The sequence below is a fragment of the Homo sapiens genome, chromosome 19 (assembly GCF_000001405.40).
Source record: "Homo sapiens chromosome 19, GRCh38.p14 Primary Assembly".
Classification (NCBI taxonomy): Eukaryota; Metazoa; Chordata; class Mammalia; order Primates; family Hominidae; genus Homo; species Homo sapiens.
In genome coordinates this window covers 11,420,605-11,440,204 of record NC_000019.10, presented here as the reverse complement: position 1 = coordinate 11,440,204, position 19,600 = coordinate 11,420,605, and the positions used below count along the sequence as shown (strand labels likewise).

Genomic DNA, 19,600 nt, shown 5'->3' with positions numbered 1-19,600 from the left:
CTGCACTCCAGCCTGGGCGACAGAGTGAGACTCCGTCTCAAAAAAAAAAAGAAGTGTGTTGGTTGTGTTCAATCCACCTTCTATTTAAAAGATGTGGAATCCAGAGAGTTTTACACCATCTGCCAACAACTGATAGGACTTTGTGTTTTTTTTGTTTTTTTTTTACTTTTTAGCTCACTGCAACCTCTGCTTCCCAGGCCCAAGCAATCTTCCTGCCTCAGCCTCCTGAGTACCTGCGACTACAGACACGCACCAACACACCCGGCTAATTTTTTAACAAATTTTCAGCCGGGCATGGTGGCTCACATCTGTAATCCCCGCACTTTGGGAGGCCAAGGCAGGTGGATCATGAGGTCAGGAGTTCGAGACCAGCCTGGCCAATATTGTGAAACACCGTCTCTACTAAAAATACAAATTTTAGCCGGGTGTGGTGGTGGATGCCTGTAGTCCCAGCTACTCAGGAGGCTAAGGCAGAAGAATCGCTTGAACCCGGGAGGCAGAGGTTAGAGTGAGCCGAGATCGCGCCACTGCACTCCATCCAGCCTGGGCAACAGAGTGAGACTCTGTCTCACAAAAAAAAAAAAAAAAAAAAAAAAAAAGAAAAGAAAAATTTTTCTGAGACGGGTCTCACTGTGTTGCCCAGGCTGGTCTCAAACTCCTGGGTTAAGGTGATCCTCTCGCCTTAGCCTCCCAAAGTGCTGGGATTACAGGTGTGAGCCACATGCCCAACCAGTAATTTTTTAAATTATAATTTCCAATTTTTATTTTTACTTTTTAATTTTTTTTTTTTACTTTTTATAGAGATAGGGTATCGCTATTTTGCCCAGGCTGGTCTCAAACTCCTGGGCTCAAGCAGTCTTCCTGCCTCAGCCTCCCAAAATGCTGGGATTACAGGCAGGAGCCACCATGAGCCGGGTCTTATTTTTTCATATCAGACAGGTAATGCGCCAAGGTCGCAACAAGGTTTAAGGGAGGCGTATCTCTCACACGTGCATAAAAACCTAATCATCGTGGCCAAGCGCGGCGGCTTAGCACTTTGGGAGGCTGAGGCGAGCAGATCACCTGAGGTCAGGCGTTCGAGGCCAGCCTGGCCAACATAGTGAAACCATCTCTACCAAAAATACAAAAGTTAGCCAGGCGTGGTGGGGGTACGCCTGTATTCCCAGCTACTTGGGAGGCTGAGGTGTGAGAATTGCTTGAACCCGAAGGGCAGAGGTTGCAGTGAGCCAAGATCACGCCACTGCACTCCAGCCTGGGCGACAGAGTGAGACCCTGTCTCAAAAAATATAAATAAATAAAAATAAATCATCATGCCTATGAACTACAAAAGGATCAGCTGGCAGGAATTGAGAACAGCTGTTCCCCTAGATGCCACAATCCCCACCCCTCCGTATTGCCTCATACTTGGCCTCCTTCTGTTGTATGCTTTTTTTTTTTTTGCTTTTTTTTTGAGACGGAGTCTCACTCTGTTGCCCAGGCTGGATTGCAGTGGTGCGATCTCGGCTCACTGCAACCTCTGCCTCCCGTGTTCACGCCACTCACCTGCCTCAGCCCACCGAGTAGCTGGGACTACAGGCGCCCGCCACCACACCCAGCTAATTTTTTGTATTTTTAGTGAGACGGAGTTTCACCATGTCAGCCAGGATGGTCTCGATCTCCTGACCTCGTGATCCGCCTGCCTCAGCCTCCCAAAGTGCTGGGATTACAGGTGTGAGCCACCGCGCCTGGCCTCCTTCCGTTGTATACTTTACCTGCCTGTGGGTGTTTCGGTTTTCAGGACCTGCTGCAGAGCGTGACAATGGAAAGTTTAGAGTCCAAGTGCCGGCTCTGCTATCTCCTATGTGACCCTGGGGAAGTCATTTCCCTTTCTAAACTTGAGTTCCCCCATCTGTTGAATCGGGAAACAATCCTACCTGCTTCCAGACTAGAGGGAAAGGTGGGGATTAGGATTCACAAGGCACCTGGCACAGACAGAGAACCCGATACAGAAAAGCAGAAGAGAGAGTGGGCCCGATTCACTGGGTGGAGCCAGGCAAAGTCTTGGGGTGGGGTGATGGGAGGGGTACTGTCACCCACGTACTTGCAGGTGTTCTCACAGATGACGCCGCTGTTGTACTCGTCTGTTCCATCGCAGCAGTCTGTGGCAGAGGCAGAAGCCAAGATCAGACCTGGCAGTGCCTCCTCCCTCCCTCCCTCTACCACCTTTCCAGAATCCTGGTGCATCTTCACTTACCACAAACACCATCGTTGACCCGGTTGGAGGGGATATACAGGGGCTTATAGCCAGTGTTGGTGCAGTGGAAGCTGCCATTAGGACAGGCAGCCGTGCCTGTGAGGAAGAAGGGAGGGAAGGTTTTCGGAGTCAGCTCAGGGACAGACATGTCCCATCCATCCACAGATAAGAGCCCCTGACCCACACTGCACACAGCACAAGAAAGGAAAGGAAACCAAAGGAAGGAAAGAGTTGTACACTGCACAGCCAGGGCTCGAAATAAAGCTCTCCAGTGCCGCCTCCTGCCTCTTCTCACTGAGGCCCTTCAAAACAGGGTCTCCACCTGGCACGGGGGCTCACACCTGTAATCCCAGCACTTTGGGAGGCCGAGGCGGGTGGGTCACCTGAGGTGATGAGTTTGAGACCAGCCTGGCCAACACGATGAAACTCCATCTCTACTAAAAATACGAAAAATTAGCCGGATGTGGTGGCATGTGCCTGTAATCCCAGCTACTCAGGAGGCTGAGGCAGGAGAATCGCTTGAACCCGGGAGGTGGAGACTGCAGTGAGCCAAGATCATGCCACTGCACTCCAGCCTGGGCGATAAGAGTGAAACTCCATCTCAAAAAAAAAAATTAAAAACAAAACAAAACAAGGCCAGGTACGGTGGCTCACGCCTGTAATCCCAACACTTTGGGAGGCCGAGGCGGGTGGATCACAAGGTGACGAGATCGAGACCATCCTGGCTAACACAGTGAAACCCTGTATCTACTAAAAATACAAAAAAAAACTAGCTGGGCGTGGTGGTGGGTGCCTGTAGTCCCAGCTACTCAGGAGGCTGAGGCAGGAGAACGGTGTGAACCCGGGAGGCGGAGCTTGCAGTGAGCCGAGATGGCGCCACTGCACTCCAGCCTGGGAAACAGAGCAAGACTCCGTCTCAAAACAAAAACAAAACCAAAGACACGGTCTCATCCAGGCACGGTGGCTCACACCTGTAACCCCAGCACTTTGGGAGGCCAAGGCAGGAGGATGACTTGAGCCCAAGAGTTCCAGGCTGCAGTGAGCTACGATCATGCCACTGTACTCCAGCCTCAGCAACAAAGCAAGACCCTGTCTCTTCAAAACACACAAAAACAAAAAGCCAGGGTCTCCCTTCACCTCTGTCTCCTGCTGGATTGCTCTTGGCCCCACCCTGTCTCCCACTTCTAGGGGTTTGCCCGTGTTGACCCCTCCATCTGCAGCACCTTCGGGATTCAACTGAAACCTCACCTCCTTGGAGGAGCCTTCTCTGACCCCGAGGCTTGGGAGGAGGACGACTCTGGGCTCCTCCAGCTGCCCGGGGCCATAACACTGACCACTGACTTCTGAGCTTGTTTCTGCCCACTCAAAGGGGAGCCAGCAGAGGTAGTATCTTGGTCACACAGACAGGGCCTGGCACTGAGCAGTGTTCAATAAACATCTGATGGATGAACAGAGAAAAGGCTCACCTGGCTCGTCAGAGCCATCTTTGCAGTCGCAATAGTCATCGTTGACCTGATCAAATGGGATGGTGGCCGAACCGTCCAGGCAGGTGAAAGGCTTGGACTCATCGTAGAAGTGATGATCTGCGGGGTACAGGAAGCTCAGCCCAGGGCAGGTAAGCGCCTTCTCCACCAAATACCACCTCTGTCCTCCCATCCCCACCAGCGGAGCACTACCGGGAAACTGAGTCAAAAGGCTGTAAATGCCTATCCCTAAGGCCCAATGTTGGCCCCTCCCACCTCCAGCCTGGCGGGAGGGTGAACAGGAGGACTCACTGGTGAGGGAGACGCCCCGGGGCCTCTTGACCTCCACGGCCCAGCACATGGGTAGCAGCAGCAGCAGCGGCAACAGCATCTCACCAGACGCTCTGAGGCCCGAAACGGGTTCTGTGGGAGGAAGCCTACAGCGGGGAGATGCGCTGTGTCTTCACGCTGCAGGAAGAAAGCGGATCCCGGTCAGTGGGAGAGGGCTACTTCCAGCCAATTGGATTCCTCCATCGCTTCCAGGCAATGAGGCCTCACTTTGTTTCCGATATGGGGGCGAGGGGCAGCGATCTCCCCAATCCTGGCCAGTCTCACTTTGCTCAAATCAATGGCGAGGATCTCAAGATCTCAAAACCTCCGCTCCCTGTGCCCAATTGTGACCCAATTCCCGCCAACAGACCAAAGGGATTAACAGCCTCCGCCGTCCACACCCACACATGCACCCTCCGGTTGCCCCCTGTAAGAAACTGAGGTGCCCTCCCACCCGCTCGTTCACACCTACACGAGGCCGGAGCAAAGGTCAGTATCCACCGCACCCCTCTTGTCCAGCAGCCGCGGTTCCTGCTGCAGAAAGAAAGCGGAAATTTCTGGACCCCGTCACTTCCGGTCGTACGTTCCGCACCGGGAACGGAGACTCAGGGTCGCCATGTTGGGAGAGGCAGGAGTGGGGGCGGTGCCAGAGCCGAGACGGCCATCTTGGGCAGGACTGTGAAACCTTAGAGAGGATAGTTCTGAGGGCTAGCTCTTAATGGCGGCGCAGCGTACCTCCATCTTGGGAGTGGCGGCTTCTCAAGCCGGAAAGAAAGTTCCTGAAAAATGCCCGCGAACCCCCAGGGGCGGGATAAGGTTGGGGGAGGTAGGGAAACGGAATGAGCACGTGACCCCAAAGTGTCCAGACCCTCCGTCCTGCGGCGCGGCTCTACCCCGCCCACTGTTGGGACCGCCCCTCTATGCAGCCTCAGCCAATGAGAACGCAGTGTCAGCCACGGAACGCGGGTGATCTCCATGGAAACAGTGGAGAGAGACGGGGAGGCGGTTACCTGGCAACCGAGAGATGCGGAGCGCAACCACCTAGCGGTCGGAAAGTGCATTTTTCAGAGCCCTAGGAATCCGAGCTGACGGATCCCTGACAGGGGCGACTGACTCCTAGTTATCCCCCTAACCCCTAGGGGCCTTCAGCCCCAACCCCATCATGACATCTCCTCTGTGCAGGGCGGCCTCCGCCAACGCCCTGCCTCCTCAGGACCAGGCTTCGACGCCCTCTTCCAGGGTCAAGGGCAGGGAGGCTTCGGGCAAACCCAGCCACCTCCGAGGCAAGGGCACAGCCCAGGCGTGGACCCCAGGCCGTTCCAAGGGAGGATCCTTCCACAGAGGTGCAGGGAAGCCCTCTGTGCACTCTCAGGTGGCTGAGTTACATAAAAAGATACAACTGTTAGGTAAGATGGCTCCAGAGGGTACAGAGGGTCAGGGGTCAACAGTGCCCATCCAATCTTCATGGTGTGACAAAGGTATTTCTCCAGCATGAGTCTAGGTAAACCGTTTCTGGGCAAAAACTCATACTTAGTTCATGTTTTTCCTTCTCTGTCTCTTAAAACTTCTCATGGGTTCAGAACCGACTGAACTGTACTTCATACTTTCTTGTAATTTATTTTCTCTATTTTTTTTTTTTTTTTTGGCAGAATCTCACTCTGTTGCCAGGTGGGAGTGCAGTGGAACGATTTCGGCTCACTGCAACCTCCGCCTCCCGGGTTCAAGCGATTCTCCTGCCTCAGCCTCTTGAGTAGCTGGGACTACAGGCACACGCCACCACGCCTAACTAATTTTTGTATTTTTAGTACAGAGGGATTTCACCATATTGGCCAGGGTGGTCTCAATCTCTTGACCTCCCAAACTGCTGGGATTACAGGCGTGAGCCCGCCTCGGCCTCCCAAACTGCTGGGATTACAGGCGTGAGCCACTGCACCCGCGTTTTTTTTTGTTTTGTTTTTTGTTTTTTGAGACAGGGTCTTGCTCTGTCGCCTAGGCTGGAGAGCAGTGGCATGATCTCGGCTCACTGCAACCTCTGCCTCCAAGGTTCAAGCGATTCTCGAGCCTCAGCCTCCTGACTAGCTGGGACTATAGGTGCGTGCCACCACACCTAATTTTTATATTTTTAGTAGAGACTGGGTTTCACCATGTTGGCCAGGCTGGTCTCGAACTCCTGATCTCAAGTGATCCACGGCCTTGGCTCCCAAAGTGCTGGGATTACATGTGTGAGCCACCGCGCCCAGCCTTCTTTCTTTCTGACAGGGTCTTGCTCTGCTGTTGAGGCTGGAGTGTAGTGGTTGGATAACAGTTCACTGCAGACTTGACCTCCTAGGCTCAAGCGATCCTTCCACCTCAGCCTCCTGAGTAGCTGGGACTACAGGCATACACCACTGTGCTTGGCTAATTTTCTTACTTTTTGTAGAGATGGGGTCTCACTATGCTGCCCAGGCTGGTCTCAAACTCCTGGGCTCAAGCAATCCTTCCTCCTCAGCCTCCCAAAGTGCTGGGGTTACAGGCATGGGCCGCTGCACCTGGCCTGAGCATAGATTTTTAGAGCCAGATTTTCTGGGTTGGAATCCTGGCTCTGCATAATAGTTGTCCAACCTTGGGGGACTAAGAGTAACCTAATTGTTCTCAGTTTCTCGATGTGTGAAATGGGGATAGTAACAGTACAACATAGGTACCTGAAATGTGTAAAGTGCTTAGAACAGTGCCTGGCACATAGCAAAGTACCATAAGGTGTAAACCAGTGGTTCTTGTTGGAAAAGGGTTGGTTTGCCCCACAGGGGCCATTTGGCAATGTCCTAAGACATTGAGACCAGCATGGCCAACACGGTGAAACGCTGTCTCTACTAAAAATACAAAAAATTAGCCGGGCATGGTGGCATGGATGTCTGTTGTGGGTGTGTGTCTGCCACTGGCATCTAGTGGGCAGAGTTGAAGATGCTGCCCAACATTCTGCAAAACACAGGAGAGCACCCCACGGCAAATAATTATTCGGCCCAGTTGTTGGTCATCCTGAGGTTGCAGAATCCTTGTGTGTAAGCTATTATTATTGCTTTTGTTGATATTATTAAGAGGTAATCATGGCTGGGCGAGGTGGCTCACACCTGTAATCCCAGCACTTTGGGAGGCTGAGGTGGGCGGATCATTTGAGGTCAGGAGTTTGAGACCAGCCTGGCCAACATAGTGAAACCCCATCTCTACTAAAAGTACAAAAATTAGCCGGGCATGGTGGCGCACGCCTGTAATCCCAGCTACTTGGAAGGCTGAGGCAGGAGAGGGGCTTGAACCCAGGAGGTGGAGGTTGCGGTGAGCCAGGATTGCGCCACTGCACTCCAGCCTGGGTGACAGAGTGAGATTCCGTCTTAAAAAAAAAAAAGGGTAATCTTGCATGGTTGCTTGTGACCTTAAGCAGTTTAATCAGCCCAAGCCTCTGTCTTGTCATCTGTGCAAGGGGTATGATATGCGTATGCCATGGATACCTATTGGCACGTGATATATGGCATTCGGAAACCTCTTAGTCCAGCATCCAACACATAATAAATGCTCACAGTGAAGTACAGTTGACCGTTGAACACCATGTGTTCACATATATCATTCATCCTTTCAAGTTAAAAAAAATTGAGATGGGCAGGCCGGGCACAGTGGTTCATACCTGTAATCCCAGCACTTTGGGAGGCTGAGGCAGGAGGATTGCTAGAGGCCAGGAGTTCGAGACCAGCCTGGGCAACATAGTGAGATCCTTGACTCTACAAAAAATAAAGTAGCCAGATGTGGTGGCACATGCCTCTAGTCCTAGCTACTTGGGAGGCTGAGGCAGGAGGACTGCTTGAGCTCAGGAGGTTGAGGCTTCAGTGAGCAGTGATAGCACCACTGCACTTCATTCTGGGTGACAGAGCAAGACCCAGTCCCAAAAAAGAAAAGAAAAGAAAATACAACAGTCCTGGAATGCAAAACCTGAGTATACAGAGGGACAACTGTTTGTATCTGCAGGTTCCACAGGGCTGACTGTGGGACTTGAGTATGGAAGGATTTTGGGGTTTTTTGTTTTGTTTTGTTTTGTTTTTTGAGACAGAGTCTTGCTCTGTTGCCCAGGCTGGAGTGCAGTGGCAGGATCTCAGCTCAATGCAACCTCCACCTCCAGAGGTCAAGTAATTATTGTGCCTCAGCCTCCTGTAGCTGGGATTACAGGCACCCACCATCATGCCCGGCTAATTTTTTTTTTTTTTTTTTTTTGAGGCAGAGTCTCGCTCTGTCACCCAGGCTGGAGTGCAGTGGTGCGATCTCGGCTCACTGCAAGCTCTGCCTCCCAGGTTCACACCATTCTCCTGCCTCAGTCCCCTGAGTAGCTGGGACTACAGGTGCCTGCCACCATGCACGGCTAATTTTTTTTTTTTTTTGTATTTTTAGTAGAGGCGGGATTTCACTATGTTAGCCAGGATGGTCTCGATCTCCTGACCTCGTGATCCGCTCACTTTGGCCTCCCAAAGTGCTGGGATTATGGACGTGAGCCACCGTGCCCGGCCATGCCCAGCTAATTTTTGTATTTTTGTAGAGATGGGGTTTCACCATGTTGGCCAGGCTGATCTTGAACTCTTGACCTCAGGTGATCCGCCCGCCTCTACCTCCCAAAGTGCAAGGATTACAGGAACGAGCCATCATGCTCAGCCTCACACCTGGCTAATTTTTGTATTTTTAGTAGAGATGCGGTTTTACCATGTTGGCCAGGCTGGTCAACGACTGCATTCTTATAATATTAAGTTGATGAGCCTGGCACAGTGGCTCACACCTATAATCCTAGGACTTTAGGGGGCCTAGAACTTTGGGAACACCTGAGGTCAGGAGTTCGAGACCAGCCTGACCAACATGGAGAAACCCCATGTCTACTAAAAATACAAAATTAGCCAGGTGTGGTGGTACATGCCTGTAATCCCAGCTACTTGGGAGGCTGAAGCAGGAGAATCTCTTGAACCCGGGAGGCGGAGGCTGTGGTGAGCCGAGATTGCACCATTGCACTGCAGCCTGGGCAACAAGAGTGAAACTCCATCTCAAAAAAAAAAAAAAAGTTGATGATTGCAAAAAAGGTCTTTCCTCTGGGATGTTGCACCCATGCACCCACCCAGTAACTGTGTGTCTGTCCACCTCACCTGCCTGCCAGAGGGTGACCGGAAGGCTTTTTTTGAGAGCTCTCAGTGGAACATCAAGAAGAACCAGGAGACCATCAGTCAGCTCCGCAAGGAGACTAAGGCACTGGAACTAAAGCTGCTGGACCTGCTCAAGGTAAGGGGCAAAGGGGTGGGTGTAGGGTTCCCGTGGCGGTGGATGGTGGGGGACAAGTAGGTAGCACCTGGCCTTAGCTGGAGGTGGCATGCTGAAAGGTGACTGGACTTCCCTCCTTGCAGGGAGATGAGAAAGTGGTCCAGGCAGTGATTCGCGAATGGAAGTGGGAGAAGCCATACCTGAAGAACAGGACAGGACAGGTTTGCCCACCCTCGCCCCACCTCCTCCTTCATTTCCAGCCTGGGTCCCCTCACCACTGGACTCCAGGCTCACCCTCTCCAATCCTTCCTGCACACTAGCTGCCATTCATGTGCTCATTCAATTAAATCTTTATTACTCACTTTCCTTGTATCTGGCATCCTGGCATGGTAGTAAATGCAGTGAAAAAGCAGACCAAGTCTCCACTTCTAAAAACAGCTCATATCCTAATAGGGAAAACAAGTTAAAAAAAAAAACATCACAGCCAGGCGCGGTGGCCCACGTCTGTAATCACAGCACTTTGGGAGGCCAAGGCGGGCAGATGACCTGAAGTCGGGAGTTCAAGACCAACCTGACCAACATGGAGAAACCCTGTCTCTACTAAAAATACAAAACTTAGCTGGGCATGATGGCACGTGCCTGTAATCCCAGCTACTCGGGAGGCTGAGGCAGGAGAATCGCTTGAACCCGGGAGGCAGAGGTTGCAGTGAGCCGAGATTGTGCCATTACACTCCAGCCTGGGCAACAAGAGCGAAACTCCGTCTCAAAAAATAAATAAAATAAAAATAATTAAAAAAAATAAAACATTTTAAAAGTCATTGAACCCAAGAGGCAGAGGTTGTAGTAAGCTGAGGTTGTGCCACTGTGCTCCAGCCTGGGAGACAGAGTGAGACTCAGTCTCAAAACAAACAAACGAAAACAATGACCAGTGGCACATGCCTGTAATCCCAGCTATTCAGGAGGCTGAGGCTGGAGGATTGCATGAGCCTAGAAGTTTGAGACTATAATGAGCCACAATTGCACCACTGCACTCCAGCCTGAGTGACAGTACAACCTGTTTCTTTAAAAAAAAAAAAAAAAAAGGCTGGGCGCGGTGGCTCACGCCCGTAATCCCAGCACTTTGGGAAACCGAGGCGGGTGGATCACGAGGTCAGGAGATCGAGCCCATCCTGGCTAACACGGTGAAACCCCGTCTCTACTAAAAATACAAAAGGCCGGGCGCGGTGGCTCATGCCTGTAATCCCAGCACTTTGGGAGGCCGAGGTGGGTGGATCACAAGGTCAGGAGTTCTAGACCAGCCTGGCCAAGATGGTGAAACCCTGTTTTTACTAAAAATACAAAAATTAGCCAGGTGTGGTGGCAGGCACCTGTAATCCCAGCTACTCAGGAGGCTGAGGCACAGAATTGCTTGAACCCAAGAGGCAGAAGTTGCAGTGAGCTGAGATCGCACCACTGCACTCCAGTCTGGGCGACAGAGTGAGACTCTGTCTCAAAAATAAATACATAAATAAAAAATAAAATAAAAATAAAAATACAAAAAATTAGCCAGGCATGGTGGTGGGCGCCTGTAGTCCCAGCTACTCAGGAGTCTGAGGCAGGAGAACAGTTTGAACCCGGGAGGCGGAGCTTGCAGTGAGCTGAGACTGGTGCCACTGCACTCCAACCTGGGTGACAGAGCGAGACTCTGTCTCAAAAAAACAAAAACAAACAAACAAACAAAAACAAAAGATAAAAAATTAAAGGCCGGGCGCGGTGGCTCACGCCTGTAATCCCAGCACTTTGGGAGGCTGAGGCGGGCGGATCACCTGAGGTCGGGCGTTTGAGACCAGCCTGGCCAACATGGCGAAACCCCGTCTCTACTAAAAATACAAAAAATTAGCCGGGCATGGTGGTGCATGCTTGTAATCCCAGCTACTCAGGAGGCTGACGCAGGAGAATCCCTTGAACCCGGGAGGTGGAGGTTGCTGTGAGCCGAGATCATGCCATTGCACTCCAGCCTGGGCAACTCTGTCTCAAAATAAATAAATAAATAAATAAATAAATAAATAAATAAATAAAAAATAAAACACAGTCTAGGCATGGTGGCTCATGCCTTGTAATACCAGCACTTTGGGAGGCCAAGGCTGGAGGATCACTTGAGCCCAAGAGTTTGAGACCAGCCTGCCAACATAGTGAAACTTTGACTCTACAACAAATACAGAAGATTTGCCAAATGTGGTGGCACAGGATTGTAGTCCCAGCTACTTGCCAGGCTGAGGTGGGAGGATCACCTGAACTGGGGAGGTCGAGGCTGCAGTGAGTCATGTTCGTGCCACTGCACTCCCGTCCGGGTGACAAAGCAAGGCCTTGTCTGAAAAAATAATTATAAAAATTAAAAGGCTGGGCGTGATGGCTCACGTCTGTAATCCTAGTACTTTGGGAGGCCAAGGCAGGTGGATCACTTGAGCTCAGAAGTTCATGACCAGCCTGGGCAACATGATGAAACCCTGTCTCTACCAAAAATACAAAAACGTACCCAGGCGTCGTGGCATGCATCTGTGGTCCCAGCAACTGAGGACGCTGAGGAGGAAGGATCACTTGAGCTCAAGGGGCGGAGGTTGCAGTGAGCCAAGATCGAGCCACTGCACTCCAGCCTGAGTGACAGGGTGAGACCCCATCTCAAAAAACAAAACAAAACAAAACTGGGCTGGGTGCAGTGGCTCTTGCCTGTAATCTCAGCACTTTGGGAGGCCGAGGAAGGAGGATGGCTTGGGCCCAGGAATTCGCGACCAGCCTGAGCCACATAGCGAGACCCTGCCTCTATAATTTTTTTTTTTTTTTGAGACAGAGTCTCGCACTGTCGCCCAGTATGGAGTGCAGTGGCACGATCTTGGCTCACTGCAAGCTCCGCCTCCCGGGTTCTCGCCATTCTTCTGCCTCAGCCTCCTGAGTAGCTGGGACTACAGGCGCCTGCCACCATGCCCGGCTAATTTTTTGTATTTTTAGTAGAGACGGGGTTTTACCGTGTTAGCCAGGATGGTCTCGATGTCCTGACCTCGTGATCCACCCGCCTTGGCCTCCCAAAGTGCTGGGATTACAGGCGGGAGCCACCGCGCCCAGCCTAAAACATTTTTTAAAAGAAAAAAATGGCCAGAAGATAGCTGGGTGAGGTGGCTCACGTCTGTAATCCCAGCACTTTCGGAGGCCGAGGCAGGTGGATCACCTGAAGTCAGGCGTTTGAGACCAGCCTGGTCAACGTGGTGAAACCCTGTCTCTACCCAAAATACAAAAATTAGCCGGGTGTAGTGGCACATGCCTGTAATCCCAGCTACTTGGGAGGCTGAGGCAGGAGAATTGCTTGAACCTAGGAGATGGAAGTTGCAGTGAGCCGAGATCGTGCCACTACACTTCAGCCTGGGCGACAGAGCGAGACTCCGTTTCAAAAAAAAAAAAAAAAGAAAAGAAAACAAAAACAAAAATTAGCCAGGCGTGGTGGTGGGCACCTGTAATCCCAGCTACTCGGGAGGTTGAGGCAGGAGAATGGCGTGAACCCAGGAGGAGGAGGTTGCAGTGAGCCGAGATTGCACCACAGCACTCCAGCCTGGGTGTCAGAGCAAGACTCCGTCTAAAAAAAAAAAAACGAAAGAAAGAAAAATTTAAAAATATTTTTTTAGAACCCTGAGCCGGTGTAAGATCGCCAAGGTGGTCGATATAGACAGAGAGAAGACTCCGGTGCTCTCTCTACAAAAACAACACAGAAGGGGTGGCCAGGGAGGTGGGTAGAAAACGGGAGAGGGGAGTCCTGGAAGCCACAGTGTGGGAGAAGGAAGGGAGGAAGGGCTAGGTGTGTGTCGGGGTAGGGTGTTGAGGCTCCTGCTTTCGCTCCCCTCCTTGCGGCAGGCCCTGGAGCACCTAGACCACCGGCTGAGGGAGAAGGTGAAGCAGCAGAACGCCCTGCGGCACCAGGTGGTGTTGCGGCAGAGGCGGCTGGAGGAGCTCCAGCTGCAGCACAGCCTGCGCCTTCTGGAGATGGCGGAGGCGCAAAACAGACACACGGAGGTGGCCAAGGTAGGGGCGGGTGAGGCCTGCAGGGCAGAGGGTCGTGTGGGAGGGATTGAGTGCGGAGGGCCCTCAGCCCAGCCCTGCTGCTCTCCAGACCATGCGGAACCTGGAGAACCGCCTGGAGAAGGCCCAGATGAAGGCGCAGGAGGCCGAGCACATTACCAGCGTGTACCTGCAGCTCAAGGCCTATCTAATGGTAGGGACTAGGAGGGCTCGGGTGAGATGACAAACAGGGAGGGCGGGCTTGGCTAGGGACAGCAGTCACAGACCTGCACCATCTCCGCTACCCCTCCCCACCACGCCCCAGGACGAGAGCCTCAACTTGGAGAACCGGCTGGACTCCATGGAGGCTGAGGTGGTGAGGACCAAACATGAGCTGGAGGCACTGCACGTGGTGAACCAAGAGGCCCTCAATGCCCGGGACATTGCCAAGGTGCCACCCCTCTTGCCCTCGGCCATCCTGCCCAGCTGCCGCGGTCTCCCAGCTTGAGAATCTGACCTCAGCTGTCCCTGAGCTTCCCCTACGCCCCCGCCCCCATCTATCTCCCAGCACCCTGCGGCGGGCAGTGGTAGGTGCCAGCTGGTCTCCCTGCTACCCTGCCCGCCCTCCAGAACCAGCTGCAGTACCTAGAGGAGACCTTGGTTCGAGAGCGCAAGAAGCGGGAACGCTACATAAGTGAGTGCAAGAAGCGCGCCGAGGAGAAGAAACTGGAGAACGAGCGCATGGAGCGCAAGGTGGGCGCACCCAGGGGTGCGCGCCTGTGACTCCAGCCCAGCCCAGCACAAACCAGCCATGCCCTGGCTCTCCCTCATCCTAGGCCTTCTCCCATTTTCTGTTTCTCCTAACCCCGCCCCCTCTCTGACTCCACCCCCACTTGGTGCGAAGACCCCTCCCACATCCCTGACCCCGCCTCTCCTCCCCTCCCCTCCTAAGCGACTGCACCATTTTGGCTCTGACATGGCCTCCAGCCTTCCCCTTACTCAGTGACCCCCCTACCCATCCTTTCCCACCTGACTAGACTGCCTGTCCTGAATCTGACCGTGCCTCTGAGCCAACCGTTGCCTAAGGCCCTGCCCCCTCACTCTTGGCCCCGCCCCTGCACCTGCCCTGAGGCTGCCTCCCATCCAGCCCTCACCAAAGCCCTGTCCTGCCTTTTTGTTTTTTGGGTTGTTGTTGTTGTAGTTGTTGTTTGATAGGTTTTTTTTGCATATATATATATATATATACGTATATACATATATATACATATATGCATATATGCATATATACACACACATATATACACATATACATACATATATACATACATACACACATATATACATATATACATACATACACACATATATACATATATACATATATACACACATATATACATATATACATATATACACACATATATACATATATACACACACATATATGTATATATACATATACACATATGTGTATATACACATATATGTATATATACATATACACATATGTACATACACACATATATACACATATGTACATATACACATATATACATATATACACATATGTACATATACACATATGTACACATACACATATATACACATATGTACATATACACACATATACACATATGTACATATACATATATACACATATGTACATATACACACATATATACACATATGTACACATACACATATGTATATATACACATATGTACATATACACATATGTATATATACATATGTACATATACACATATACACATATGTACATATACACATATATACATATATACACATATGTACATATACACATATACATATATACACATATACACATATATACACATATGTATATATGCACATATGTATATATACACATATATACATATACACATATGTACATATACACATATATACATATATACACATATGTACATATACACATATATACATATATACACATAGGTACATATACACATATATACATATATACACATAGGTATATATACACATATATACATATATACACATAGGTATATATACACATATATACATATATACACATAGGTATATATACACATATATACATATATACACATAGGTATATATACACATATATACATATATACACATAGGTATATATACACATATATACATATATACACATAGGTATATATACACATATATACATATATACACATAGGTATATATACACATATATACATATATACACATAGGTATATATACACATATATACATATATACACATAGGTATATATACACATATATATTTATACACATAGGTATATATACACATATATACATATATACACATAGGTATATATACACATATATACATATATACATATATATACATATATACATATATATATGGATTTTTTTTTGAGACACGGTCTCTGTCGCTCAGACTAATTATAGCTCACTGCAGTCTCGACCTCCTGGGCTCAAGTGATCCTCTCACCTCAGCCTCCCAAGTAGCTGGGACTTCAGGCGCCCCACCACGCCCTGCTAATTTTGGTGTTTTTTGTAGAGACGGGGTCTCGCCGTGTTGTCCAAGCTGGTCCCGAACCCCTGGGCTCAAACAATCCTCCCGCCTCAGCCTCCTAAAGTACTGGAATTAAAGGCGTGAGCCACAGCCACCGCCCCCGCGCCCGACCTTGTCCCACTTTCTTGACACCTGCCCGGGTGCCTTTATCTGGCCCCAAGCTTTTGCCCTCTCCCTTCCCTCCAGTTTGAGCCCTGTTCCTCGCGGGCCCCTATCTGGATCCCCCTCCCCGGCCTCCTTCCCAAGCGCTGTCCACCAGCTGACCCTGGCTCTGACCTCAACCCACGAGCAGACCCACCGCGAGCACCTGCTGCTACAGTCCGACGACACCATCCAGGACAGCCTGCATGCCAAGGAGGAGGAGCTGCGGCAGCGCTGGAGCATGTACCAGATGGAGGTGATCTTTGGCAAGGTCAAGGACGCCACTGGCACTGACGAGACGCACGTGAGTTCTGCCCGCAGCCCTCTCCGCCGCGCCCCCCCCCCACCCCAGACGGGCCCCAGGGGTGCCTAAGCCGGTGAAACCGACACACCCTGTCTCCCCTCTCTGCCAGGTCGGTTATTCAGCTCACAAACCTGCTCCTTTCTTGAAAAACATCCCTTCCCCCTCCAGCTACCGTTCAGTTTTTCTGCTGCCCTTCGCAGCAAAACCCCTAGGAGCTGTCTACACTCGCCGTCATTTCTACACTCGCCTTCCGTTCTCTCTTGCACCATGCTAACTCCTTTGCCATGCCAGCTCTAGGAGAACTGGGAGTTTCGTCTCTTGTTCTGTCTCCAGTGTCTGTAACATGGTCTGGGACCCAGTGGACCGCCCAGTACCATCCTCAGATCCTGGCAAGTGGGGTCCCTGCGCCGGGTCCCTCACTGTAAAGTCTTCCTTGCATTATTCTAAGACCGCTGTGTCCCCCTTGGGTCCTGGTTCCCGCCGGTGAACACTGGACCCCAACCCTGTTTCTCCCCTCTGGGTGTCCGCCAACCTGCTGCTCCTCCGATGGGGCCGACCCCTGATGACTTCCGGGACTCCCACCTATAGGAGTACACCTATGGGGTCATCTGGGGCACTGAGGCGCAGCCCCTTTCCAGATGTGGGCCTTGTGAGCGGATGGCTCCGAAGACGGGCGGTATTTCCTGCGGAATCGGGCGAGATTCACGGCCAGAAATTGATGGCACTTTGATTTTGGAAAGAAGCTATGCTCGCCTCTCCAGTTGCCCCCGAGTTTGGGCTGACTCAAATTCCTTATATAGGCCAGAAAGGGCCCCGCAAAAATGATATATCCAGGGCTGCTCACCCTTGAAGCAACCCTGCGTCCAACCCACAGTGTCCCCATACATTGCTGTGCAAAAGGCGCCAGCTCAGGCCACCTGTCCTGCGTGCGAGGGTTCGCAGGGTGGGGGAGAGGAGGTGGAGCGCCCCTACGCTCCCTAGGCCCTGGCTCTGACTGGGGCTGGGTGGCCCGCAGTCGTTGGTGCGGCGGTTCCTGGCCCAGGGCGACACCTTCGCGCAGTTGGAGACGCTCAAGAGCGAGAACGAGCAGACGTTGGTGAGGCTGAAGCAGGAGAAGCAACAACTGCAGCGGGAGCTGGAAGACCTCAAGTACTCGGGGGAGGCCACGCTGGTGAGGTGAGGCACCGGGGCTCTGGGGAGGGCGGCGGGGCGGGCTGAGCCCCCGGGGTGACCTCCCGGCTCCCTGCAGCCAGCAGAAACTGCAAGCCGAGGCGCAGGAGCGTCTCAAGAAGGAGGAGCGGCGGCACGCCGAGGCCAAGGACCAGCTGGAGCGCGCCTTGCGGGCGATGCAAGTGGCCAAGGACAGCCTGGAGCACCTGGCCAGCAAGCTGATCCACATCACTGTGGTAGGCCCCGCCCAGGGGAAGCCCCGACAGGCCCTCCTGGGACCGCAGAGGCGCAGCCACGAAGCGGGGTTCCTGCCACACCAGCTTGCCCGAGGGAACGTGGCCTGCCACATCCTCTGTCCCGGACGTCAGAGGCCCCGCCCACAGGGGAAGCCCCACCCCATTCCTCAGAGTCCCCGCCCCACCTCCCTGGGGAAGCTCTCACTCCCCAAGGAAGCCCAAGACGTCAGAGACCCTGTCCCGTCTCAAGCTCCGCCTCCAAGGGAAAGAAGTCCCACCCTGTCCCCGAAAAGCTCGGAGACCTATCTGCAGTTCTGGAGCAGCCCGAGACAGAAGACCTATCCTGCCCGCAGCAGAGGGCCATTTCTTCAGGAGGCCATCCCACAATGGCCTCCCTCGAATCCTTACTGTTCCCAAGAGGCCTCCCCGAAACCTTTACATATAGAGTTAGAGTTCAGAGGCTCCCCCATCACAGACGTGGCCTTGACCTAAGTCCCCGCCCCCAATGGCTAGGATCGACCCTGCAGGTGGGCCCTTACCTCCTAGGCCCCGCCCCCGAAAGAAAAGCCCCGCCCCTGGGTGGAGCCTTCCAAGAGGCCCCACCCCTCTCGGCTGACCCGGCTCTACCCTGGCCGCAGGAGGACGGCCGCTTCGCGGGAAAGGAGCTGGATCCCCAGGCAGATAACTATGTGCCAAACCTGCTGGGCCTCGTGGAGGAAAAGCTGCTGAAACTGCAGGCGCAGCTCCAGGGCCACGACGTGCAGGAGATGCTGTGCCACATCGCTAACCGCGAGGTGCCCTGCAGCCATGGGGCAGAGCTCCAGAGATCTAGGAGTAGGGCTGGGTCGGAAAACCAGGGAACCGGGGGCAACTTCGGGAGACCAGATTGCAGGCTGATCAGCCAGGAAGGGGTCTCGGGGACAACGGGCGAGGTTTGACGAGCCAGGGGTGAGCCCGAGCCACGAGGGAAGAAACCAGAAGAGGTGCAGGCGGGTCCTGTGAGGCTAGAGGACGCGGCTGGGGTATCCGGATGGGGAGAGGCCTAGTGGCAGGGCCCCAGAGACCAGGGGCGGACCTGAGTGATGAGGGGGTGAAGCTGGGTATCAAGGTGCCTGCTTAAGGAGGGATGGGAGTGGGCAGTGGTCTCCAGTTGGAACTAGGGCATATCTCGGAATGGGGTAGGGAGGAGGGGGAACGTGACTTCTCGGTGGCCCCTGGCCCCGCCCACCTTCCTCTCTCGCTTCCCATCCCCGCTTAGTTCCTCGCCAGCTTAGAGGGAAGGCTGCCCGAATACAACACCCGCATCGCCCTGCCCCTTGCCACTTCCAAGGACAAGTTTTTTGGTCAGTATGGGTGGGGGGATGAAGGGGTGCGGTTGGGGCCCCAAGCTGGGTAGCAGGAGGTTGTCAGATACCCTGTTCAGGGCCAAGGTGGGGGTGGAGTGGGGTGGTAAAGGGAAGGGGAGCCAGGGATGGGGACCTGGATCCCACATCGCTCCCTGCTCATCCCCCCACCCCCCTTAGACGAAGAGAGTGAGGAGGAGGACAACGAGGTAGTGACCCGCGCATCACTCAAGATCCGTTCCCAGAAATTAATCGAAAGTCACAAGAAGCACCGTCGCTCTCGGAGGTCCTAGACTCGTCCTGACACCCACCAGGCGGCCCCCTTCGGAGCCCCCGATCCCTCCGGGTCTAGCGCAGGCCCCACGGGGCCCCTTCAGGGGCTGAACGCGGCCCGGACCGGGAACGGAGGCGGCCAGCGGCGCCCGGAGGGGAGGAAGGGGCCGGGCCAGACGTTCCCACAGTAAATCTCCCCAGCTGGGTCCGCCCCGGCCTCAGAGTTGCGCAATAAATGTTACCGACCATG

At 52.7% G+C, this 19,600-nt stretch overlaps 2 protein-coding genes and 1 pseudogene across 11 annotated transcripts in view, besides 5 other annotated features; 1 reads left to right on the top strand and 2 right to left on the bottom strand.

Annotated features, from left to right (window-relative positions):
* The window catches only part of PRKCSH (PRKCSH beta subunit of glucosidase II), a 15,334-nt gene extending 10,764 nt beyond the window's left edge, over positions 1–4,570 (bottom strand). For 3 of the 7 annotated variants that reach the window (NM_001289103.2, NM_001379609.1, NM_001379608.1), the window contains exons 1-5: positions 4,495–4,570; positions 4,009–4,164; positions 3,700–3,816; positions 2,234–2,329; positions 2,081–2,138 (exon numbers count right to left, since the gene is read on the bottom strand). In NM_001289103.2, the coding sequence (NP_001276032.1) occupies positions 2,081–2,138; positions 2,234–2,329; positions 3,700–3,816; positions 4,009–4,087 (350 nt within the window). In that variant the 5' untranslated portion in view covers positions 4,088–4,164; positions 4,495–4,570. Of the gene's footprint in view, positions 1–2,080; positions 2,139–2,233; positions 2,330–3,699; positions 3,817–4,008; positions 4,165–4,494 lie in introns of those variants that run through there. The other 4 variants (NM_001289104.2, NM_001001329.3, NM_002743.3 and 1 more) reach the window with 3 other exon arrangements.
* Positions 930–1,046, bottom strand: LOC124904800 (uncharacterized; annotated as a pseudogene).
* Positions 4,013–4,232: an enhancer, noted in NCBI's record as "active region_14018". NCBI's record gives its function as "activates an Ori minimal core promoter by ATAC-STARR-seq in GM12878 lymphoblastoid cells {active_cell/tissue: GM12878}" and the evidence as "EXISTENCE:reporter gene assay evidence [ECO:0000049][PMID:35858748]".
* On the top strand, positions 4,423–19,600 carry ODAD3 (outer dynein arm docking complex subunit 3). 4 transcript variants are annotated; one of them, NM_001302453.1, is made up of 13 exons: positions 4,423–4,515; positions 9,185–9,306; positions 9,429–9,506; positions 13,165–13,332; positions 13,421–13,522; positions 13,634–13,759; positions 13,939–14,061; positions 16,176–16,328; positions 17,344–17,504; positions 17,578–17,734; positions 18,373–18,528; positions 18,993–19,077; positions 19,258–19,600. In NM_001302453.1, exons 1-13 carry the CDS (start codon positions 4,434–4,436, stop codon positions 19,368–19,370), a joined length of 1,626 nt encoding a protein of 541 aa, NP_001289382.1. In that variant the 5' UTR covers positions 4,423–4,433; the 3' UTR covers positions 19,371–19,600. The 4 variants fall into 4 exon arrangements, with proteins under 4 accessions (NP_001289382.1, NP_659482.3, NP_001289383.1 ...); NM_145045.5 differs by lacking the exon at positions 4,423–4,515 and adding an exon at positions 5,084–5,432; NM_001302454.2 differs by lacking the exons at positions 4,423–4,515; positions 9,429–9,506; positions 13,421–13,522 and adding an exon at positions 5,084–5,432.
* Positions 4,466–4,965: an enhancer, noted in NCBI's record as "H3K27ac-H3K4me1 hESC enhancer chr19:11546061-11546560 (GRCh37/hg19 assembly coordinates)". NCBI's record gives its function as "activates a minimal SCP1, AML or CMV promoter by ChIP-STARR-seq in naive H9 embryonic stem cells {active_cell/tissue: H9 hESC(naive)}" and the evidence as "EXISTENCE:reporter gene assay evidence [ECO:0000049][PMID:30033119]".
* Positions 4,483–4,892: an enhancer, noted in NCBI's record as "active region_14017". NCBI's record gives its function as "activates an Ori minimal core promoter by ATAC-STARR-seq in GM12878 lymphoblastoid cells {active_cell/tissue: GM12878}" and the evidence as "EXISTENCE:reporter gene assay evidence [ECO:0000049][PMID:35858748]".
* Positions 17,492–17,551: a silencer, noted in NCBI's record as "silent region_10111". NCBI's record gives its function as "represses an Ori minimal core promoter by ATAC-STARR-seq in GM12878 lymphoblastoid cells {active_cell/tissue: GM12878}" and the evidence as "EXISTENCE:reporter gene assay evidence [ECO:0000049][PMID:35858748]".
* Positions 18,782–18,831: an enhancer, noted in NCBI's record as "active region_14016". NCBI's record gives its function as "activates an Ori minimal core promoter by ATAC-STARR-seq in GM12878 lymphoblastoid cells {active_cell/tissue: GM12878}" and the evidence as "EXISTENCE:reporter gene assay evidence [ECO:0000049][PMID:35858748]".